Raw genomic sequence first — 9,307 nt, 5'->3', positions numbered from 1 at the left:
TCCAGGCTCCTATCATTTCCATCTCTACAGACAAGCCTTGGGTAAATCTGATTGTGGCTGAACAGGAGATAATGTTCCTCATAGATACAGGAGCCAGTTATTCAGCTTTAAATGTTTACTGTGGCCCGATATGCCAGTCCTCCATTTTCCTCACGGGTACTGATAGAAAACCCCAACAAACCTGTTTCATGCCACTACTCCCTTGAATAACGGAAGGCTTTTCCTTTACCCACTTCTTTTTCATCCTGCCAAGCTGTCCTGTTCCATTATTAGGTTGTGACTTAACTCAAGTTAATTTATAATTACAAGCTAATTTATAGACAAGGCCCCACCTTCTGGCTGTATTAACTCACACTTCACAAAAAGAGCTCCTGCAGTCGATAAAACTGTACATTCTGGCTGGGCATGGTGGCTTATGCCTGTGATCCCAGCATTTTGGGAGGCCAAGACGGGTGGATCACCTGAGGTCAGGAGTTCGAGGCCAGCCTGGGCAACATGGTGAAACCCTGTCTCCACTAAAATACAAAAAATTTGCCAGGCATGGTGGCACAATCCCTGTATTCCCAGCTATTCGGGAGGCTGAGGCGGGAGAATCACTTGAACCTGGGAGGTGGAGGTTGCAGTGAGCTGAGACTGCGCCACTGCACACCAGCCTGGGTGACAGATCAAGACTCCTGTCTCGAAAATAAATAAATAAATAAATAAATAAATAAATAAATAAATAAATAAATAAAACCTTACATTTTAAAACAAATGCCATTTGAGTTTTGGAATACGTCTATTCCTGTCCATTCAATATCAGCTGCTCCCATCATTATTCAGCTTAAAAATCCCAATAAGTTCCCTGGAAACCCTCAATACCCCTTGAAACCTGAAGCACAAAAATGGTTAAAGCCCCTAATAACAAAATTTTTAACCCATGGATTATTATGCCCATGCAATTCACCTTGCAACACTCTTATTTTAGCTGTATAGAAAACCAATGGCTCCTATTGACTAATACACGACCTTATGATTATTAATGAAGCTGTTATTCCTATTCATCCTATTGTCCTAAACCCTTGGGCTCTTTTTGGACACATTCCCTCCACCACAGCTTGGTTTACTCTACTTGATCCTAAGGATGCCTTTTTCTGCATATTTGGAAACCCAGGTAGCCAATTTTTGTTTGGTTTTGAATGGCAAGACCCAGATACTCAAATTATCAACAGTTAACTCAGACACTTTTTACCCTAGCAATTCAGAGAGTCTCTACTCTTTTGGACATGTCCTAGCTAAAGACCTGTATACCCTGCAGCTTCTCCCAGATAGCAATCTATTCCAGTATGTGGACGACCTACTAATCTGTAGTCCTAACAATGCTGTTTCAGACCAAAATACGGTATTAGTACTAAAAGAACTTGTTGATTGTAGGTACAAAGTATCTCCTTCTAAGGCACAAATATGCATACAGATAATTCAATTTTGGAGTCTTATTTTAACCCCTGTTACAAAGAGCCTCCCTAGTGTTCATAAAGATCTTATCTTACACGTGACAACCCCAGTAAATAAACAACAGCTTTGGTCCTTCTTGGGTATGGCCGGGTTTTGCAGTATATGAATTCCTTCCTTTGGAGTACTAACAAAACCTTTATAGGAAGCTCTCAGGGAACTGAGGAAAAACCTCTATGCTGGACTATTGATATGAAGTATGCTCTAAACAATTTTTTAGGGGGACACAGACTCCAGTGTAAACTAAAAGAATGCTCCCTCTAAACACTGTAAAACAAACTTTAATCTGAGCTCTGGCCTTATCCCTACCAGATCTGACTAAGCCTTTCTTTTTGTATGTGTATGAATGAAGAGGAATATCTTTGGGAGCCTTATCCCAAGATCTGGGGTCCTCTAAGTGCCTTGTAGCATATTTTTCAAGAACTTTTGATCTAGTATCCCAGGGATGGCCCCTGGCTTAAGAGCCTTAGCAGCCATGGCCCTCTTAGTCCAAGAAGCCTCAAACTATATTATCTGCCCTTCCTGAACTCTTATGGCTTTATGGCACTGCTAATACTTATTTAAACCCTTTTCAAGCTGTGGCCCTATCCCACCTTGATAATTCTCTTCATTATAGTGATTGTACTCTGGGAACAATGGCTCCCACTGAATTCACTGTCTTGAACATAACTTCCAAACTAGAACTGCATTCTAGAAGAAAAAGTGCCCTAGGAGTTATTGTGGCTGGAGTTGTGGGAACTATCACAACTCTCACCCCTTGGCAGGTTTTACTTACCATGAAATCATAACCATGAGAATTTAATGCCTCCCTTGAAATAGCCTTAGCAAAAACTGGCACAAGTCTATCGGCACTAGAAAAGTCTTTAAACTGACTAATAGGAATGGTTTTTGATAATAAATGAACTCTGGTTTAAATTCTAGCTGAACAAGGAGGAGTCTGTGCTGTCATAAAGAAAACCTGTTGCACCTACATTAATGTGTCTGGAGAAGTAGAAACTAATGTCCAAGGAATTTTCAAAGAAGCCAAATGGCTACACACACACTTTTTTGAAGAAACCAAGACTGAGTCAAAACCTTTACTGATTATTTTCCAAAAATAACTTGGCTTCTCCCATTCCTTGGACCTTTGCTCCTTTTCAATCTTCCTTTAATATTTGGTCCCTGCCTTTTTAATGCTCTCATTAAGTTTATATGTTCCAGATTACAACGATTCTATTTATAGATGACTATGCAATCCCAGTACTGGCCTGCAACAGCAACTTCCATTTACACGAGGCCTCTTAATGAAATCTCATTCCTCTGCGACCCCTGTGCCTGCCCTGTGAACAAGTTTTTCATGACCCTTCATCGCCTAATGACAGAGAGCAAGAAGGAGAAAAACACAACTTATCCCTTCAATGTCCCCTTTCAGCAGAAAGTAGCCAGACAGACTCGACGTCCATTTTCACTGTGCTGTTTTTCCTTTCTTGAGACCCTAATAGGCAGCAGATAGACATGAGCATGGGGGAACACAAAAGGTCAAAGACTTGACCAAGATATTTATTGGGGGGAAATGAGGACAGCAAAGATCGCCTGGTGACCATCAAGCACAAAACTCCTTATCTGAGGAATTCGGAAATAGACTTCCCTATTATCTAAAGCAGGCATCTGGTACGAGGCTTAAGAAAACTGTAAGTAACTAGAATTTCTATACATCTCTGGAATGTATGCATGTCAAAACTTGTTGTACAGCCCTCACTGACATCAAGGCACCAAAATGTCTACAAATGTAATCATCTATCATGACCTATGTGGCTAATATGGTCCAAATTACCCTTAAGCTTCCACTTTAAGTTCCATAGATATCCCTAAGGAAAAATCCACCATGTCTGCACTGTGGCAGTCCTCTCTTTCTGAGGCAACCTACTGCACTCTTCTGCAGTGTTCTTTCTATCTGATAAAATTTTCCTTTTCAAACCTATTCTGTTGTCAGTAAATTCTTCTTACCAACCTGTGAGTCGACCAGTTTCTGATGCTGGGGCTCTGACACCTCACCTGGCAAATATATGATCAAGTTCCTCATCTTCCATCATTCCCCAGTTGATGTTTGATCACACTGGCCTGTTTTCAGCAAGAATTGTGTTAGGTTTAGACATAATCCCCTTTATCCTGTCCTCCAGAGAACTTTCTGTCACTGACACTCCACTCCTTGGCTATAAATTCCCACTTGCCCATGCTGTTTACAGTTGAGACCAACTTTCTTCCTCACTGTAAAATCACACTACTATAGTCCCTATCCTGATTGCACAGTCCTGAATAGTCTTCCTTACCATGCTTTATTAAGTATCATTGATTATTTTTTTCTTTAACATTACCTCCCTAGCCTGTCAACTGAAATGAAAGACTGAGGCAGGAGTCTCAATCAGTTGAAGTTTATTGAGCCAGAGTTTGAGGATGCCCCTGGGAAAATCCCAAGTCAAAGAGGCATCTGTGGCCTGTGCTCTCCAAAGAGGTTTTCAGGAAGCTCAGTATTTACATTTTTCTTTAAGGAGGAGAGAACATTCAGGAAAATGTGGAGGTGGGGTGGGGGTGGGGGAGGGTAGGAAGTGAGGCAAATGATTACATTCTTGTGAGGTTCCAGTTAGTACCCAGTAATCTACATTTTACATAAGATAATGTGAACATTCAAAGAAAAGGGAATAAAGAGTCAATTATACAGTCGTTTCAATGTAGGCAGAAGAATGATTGATCTCATCTTGTCCTTGTTCCGACCTGTGAAGATAAACTTGTAACTGACATTGTCAATGTGAGATTTAACATATCTTAGTTTTAAAAGTTAAACAGGTTGCAGACCTATGGTAACAATTGGTAAGTGCTTATTTTATAGAAGGATATATGTCCTGAAAGATTTAGGAGCCACCAAAGTTTCCTTGTAAACAATTTGTGAGGGCAGCCCTTTGGAGAGGCATGAAGCCTTTTGTCTGTGGGGATGTGGTTTGACACAGGGTTTCAAAGTAACAGTTATCTGTTTGGGGAAAAAGGATGGCAATGTTGCATGACTCATTTCCCAGGCTTAACTCTCCCCTTGGCATAATGAGTTTGGGCATCCTGAGATTTTTCTTTTCCTTTACAAGCCATTCTTATCATTTCTTTTCTTTTCTGTTTTTTTTAAGATGGAGTCTTGCTCTGTATCCCAGGCTGGAGTGCAGTGGCACGATCTCAGCTCACCGCAACCTCTGCCTCCTGGGTTCAAGTGATTTCCAGTTAATTTTTGTATTTTTAGTAGAGACAGGGTTTCACCATGTTGGCCAGGCTGGTCTCTAATTCCTGACCTCAAGTGATCCACCCACCTTGGCCTCCCAAAATGTTAGGATTACAGGTGTGAGCCACCATGCCCAGTGCATTCTTAGTCTTTCTAACAGTGGTTCATGAAATGTGGTCCTTGGACCAGCAGCATCACCATCACTTAGGAACTGGTTAGAAGTGGAAATTTTTGGCCTTCACCTACTGATTTTACTGAATCAGAAATGCTGACAGTGGGCCCCAGCAATCTTTGTCTTAACAAGACTTCCAGGTTATACTGATGCATTCTAAATTTAGAGAACCATTGCTTTTGAAGAAACATTGAAAAGCAAATAAGTGTAATTTCCAGTTAATGAGACTTCCCATAGCAAATCTGTAAAAATAATGATAGAGGAGATAGAAATTATTTAGGTAGTTAGGGTAAAAGAGTCCCTGACAGAAACTTTTCTTCTAACAAAAAGCAGCTCAGAAATTACTTCCTTTCTAACCACGTGAAGTTCAAAGAAATCACTTCTAATAGAAACAGCCTAGAAGATTGGGCTATAAAAATAGATAAGCAACTCTGACACGGAGGGAGAGTTTCCTGGGTAATCACCAAACTTCATATACATACAATGGGTCCCAGTAAAGACAGTGGGCCTTAATGAGCACATTCCTTTCCCTTTTTGGGGGACACTAATATAGGGAAACTGGAAGCTTGCGCAGGGTGGCGGATGCCTGCAGTTACAATGAGGTACCTGCGACCAGGCACAGAAACTCCCCCTCTGCTTTTTAGCATATGCATGGTGGAAGGAGATAAGCAGTGTGGAGTAGCCCAAGCTAAGAGCCCAACTGCATGATAAAGGAGGGGGGTGGAGGCTGCCAGAGTCTCTGCTCTATGCAGATGGGACACCTGGTTCTAACTGGTTTTTCATGCCCTATGTAGATAAGATACCCCCTCCCCACTAGCTCATTTATAAAACCCTTACATTTTACTGCAGCACAGCAACCCATTTGGGATCCCTCTCTGTGACAGAGAGCTGTTCTTTTCCTTTCACCTGTTAAACTTCTGCTCCAACCTCACCCTCTGTGTGTCTGTGTCCTTGATTTTCATGGCCATGAGACAAAGAATCTCAGGTGATGTCTCAGACAATGCAGCTGCTTCAATAACATGTTCTCCTTTTTTGTTGAGCTATATTTGGTCTAGTATTGGAAAGTAATACACCAATTTTCGTGTGCCTTGCTTAAGAACAATGATCAATTGATCAATTATCTCCAACATTTTCCACAAGAAAGCAAAAAAAATCATTACATGGTGATATCAGAGGTTTTAGGATTTCCCTAAAGGCCTCCCATATCAGTCTCTGTCAGCATACATCCCTGGTTTTCAGTTGACAGCCAAAAAAGCAGAGATGTTCTTTATTGACTTCAAGCTGCAAAGATAGATCAATATCAGAAGTCAGAGTAAGGGAATAATAAGGGACTAGGAGAGAAAGCTTAAAATAAGCTGTGTTTTCAACACAAGCATTTCCTGTCTGGAGCAAAAATGATGATGTTTTGCATAGAAAAACTGTTTCTAAATATACAGAGCTGTTTATCAAAACATGAAATATTTTGAAATGACAAGATAAACATTCTGCTTTGGTCTATTTGGGCTGAAATTGTTGAAAAAATTCTTCAATGATACTTGTTAAAGCATGGTGAGGAAGACTTTATTCAAGACCATGCAATAGGTATAGGGACCACAGCAATGGCACCACAATATTAGCAAGTAGGAATTTATAGCCAAGTAGTAGGGTGGGGTCAATAGATGAAAATTTCCTAAGAGGAAACATCAAGGATAAGGAGGATTATGGCCAAACCAACCTAACAGGATTTTTGCTGAGGATAGGCCAGGGTGATCAGGCATCACTTGTGGGTGGTAGAGGATGAGAAACCTGATCAGGTATTGAGGGTGATCTGGCATTAAGGGTGAGGGATTCTTGCTAAACTGACTTAGCAGGGTTCTTTACTAAAATTGGATTTTACAAGGAAGTGCACAGTGGGCCTAGAGCAAGGTTCAGGAGCCTGAGTAAAGTTTGGCCAAGCAAAGAATCGTTACTTTAGCAAAAATACCACAGACTAGGTGGCTTGTAAACAACAGAAGTTTGGCCAGGCATGGTGGCTCACACCTGTAATCCCAGCACTTTGGGAGGCCGAGGTGGGTGGATCACAAGGTCAGGGGTTCAAGACCAGCCTGGCCAAGATGGTGAAACCCCGTCCCTACTAAAAATACAAAAATTAGTCAGGTGCGATGGCAGGCACCTATAATCCCTGCTACTTGGGAGGCTGGGGCAGGAGAATCGCTTGAACTCAGGTGGCAGAGGTTGCAGTGAGCCAAAATCGCACCACTGCACTCCAGCCTGGGTGATAGAGTGAGACTCCATCTCAAAAAACAAAATCAAAAAACAAAACCCCAACACACACACACACAAAACCCAGAAATTTATTTCTCACAGTTCTGGAGGCTGGAAAGTTCAAGTCAAGGCACCAGCAAATGTCTGGGTCTACTTCCTGGTTCACAGATGGCCATCTCTTCACTGTGTCTTCACATGGCAGATGGGGCAAGACAGCTCTCTGGGCCCTCTTTTATAAGAATACTAACCCCATTCATGAGGGTGGAGGCCTTATGAACTAATAACCTCCCCTAATCACACCCTACCTCCAGATACTATCATATTAAAGATTAGGTTTCAACATATGAATTTTGTTGGTGGGGAGAGAAGGGGACACAAATATTTAGTCTATAGCACTCCCAGAGCAATATAATCTTATAACCACAACTGAGTTGAGCTACTTCATTTTTTTTTTTTTTTGCCATTTAAATGGCAAAAAATACAATAACTTTTGCACCAACCTAATAGTTTCAGTTAGCCTGCTTAGTCCAGTTTTAGCAAGAATCCTGTTAGGGCTGGGCACAGTGGCTCATGCCTGTAATCCCAGCACTGTGGGAGGCCAAGGCAGGAGAATTGCTTGAGCCCAGGAGTTTGTGACCAGCCTGGGCAACAGAGCAAGACCTCATCTCTACAAAAAGTTTTAAAAATAGTGAGGTTTTGGTGGCACTTGCCTGTAGTCCCAGCCACTCAAAAAGCTGAGGTGTGAAAGTCACATGAGGCTTAGGAGGTCAAGGCTGCAGTGAGCCATAATTGTACCACTGCATTTCAGCATGGGTGAGAGTGAGACCCAGTCTCAAGAAAAGGAAAAAAAAAAAAGGAATCCTCTTGAGTCATTTTAGTGAAAATCTCCATCCTTGATAGCTGAAAACCTTTGATATCTGATCAAATTCCTCACCCTCCATGCATGATATCTTATCACCCTGGCCTGCCTTAGCAAGAATCTCTCTTAGCCTGTATTAGTCAGGGTTTTCTTAGAGAGACAGAACTAATAGGACATGTGTGTGTGTGGGGGGGGGGCGGGGGTGGGGGGGTGAGGGAAGTTTATTAAGTATTAATTTACATGATCACAAGGTCCCACAATAGGCTGTCTGCGAGCTGAGGAGCAAGGAGAGCCAGTCTGAGTCCCAAAACTGAAGAACCTGGAACCGATGTTCAAGGGCAGGAAGCATCCAGCACACGAGAAAGATGTAGGCTGTGAGGCTAGGCCCATCTCTCTTTTTTCATGTTTTTCTGCCTGCTTTATATTCGCTGGAAGCTGATTAGATAGTGCCCACCAGATTAAGGGTGGATCTGTTTTCCCCAGTCCACTGACTCAAATGTTAATCTCTTTTGGCAACACCCTCACAGACACACGCAAGATCAAAACTTTGTATCCTTTAATCCAATCAAGTTGACACTCAGTATTAACCATCACATAGCCCTGATATTTTCTTTTAGTAATTTTTCATCCACTGACCCCACCTTGCTCCTTGGCTATAAATCTCCACTAGTCCTTGTATTCAGAGTTGAGCCTGATCTTTCTCTCCTACTGCAAATTCCTCACTGCAGTAGTCCTTGTATAAGATCTTCCTTACTGTCTTCAACAAGTATATTAGGCCATTCTTGCATTGCTATAAGGAAATACCCAAGACTGGGTAATATATAAGAAAATAAGTTTAATTGGCTCACAGTTCTGCAGGCTGTACAGGAAGCATAGCATCAGCATCTACTTCTGGAGAGGCCTCAGGAAGCTTACAATCATGGAAGAAGGTGAGGGGGGAACAGGCATCTCACGTGGTAAGAGCAGGGGCAAGCAAGGTAAGGAGAGTACCACACACTTGTAAATGACCAGATTTTTTGAAAACTCACTATCATGAAGATGGCACCAAGCCATCAGGAATCTGCCCCCATGACCCAAACACCTCCCACCAGGTCCCACCTCCAGCATTGGGGATTACAATTCAACATGAAATTTGGGCAGGGACAAATATCCAAACTTTATCATTCTGCCCGTGGCCCAAATCTCATGTCCTCATCACTTTGCAAAATACAATCATGCCTTTCCAACAGTCCCCCCAAATCTTAACTCATTCCAGCATTAACTCAAAAGTCCAGAGTCTCATCTGAGGCAAGGCAAGTTC

General features: G+C 42.0%; 1 annotated feature.

Moving 5' to 3' along the window:
- Window positions 5,323–5,871: a transcriptional cis regulatory region, noted in NCBI's record as "candidate enhancer chr3.3097 targeted for multiplex CRISPR interference". NCBI's record gives its function as "positively regulates SENP7 gene expression in K562 cells {active_cell/tissue: K562}" and the evidence as "EXISTENCE:mutant phenotype evidence [ECO:0000015][PMID:30612741]".

The sequence above is a fragment of the Homo sapiens genome, chromosome 3 (assembly GCF_000001405.40).
Source record: "Homo sapiens chromosome 3, GRCh38.p14 Primary Assembly".
NCBI classification, from domain to species: domain Eukaryota; kingdom Metazoa; phylum Chordata; class Mammalia; order Primates; family Hominidae; genus Homo; species Homo sapiens.
The sequence above is the reverse complement of the archived record's forward strand: the minus strand, read 5'-3'. Positions and strand labels throughout refer to the sequence as shown.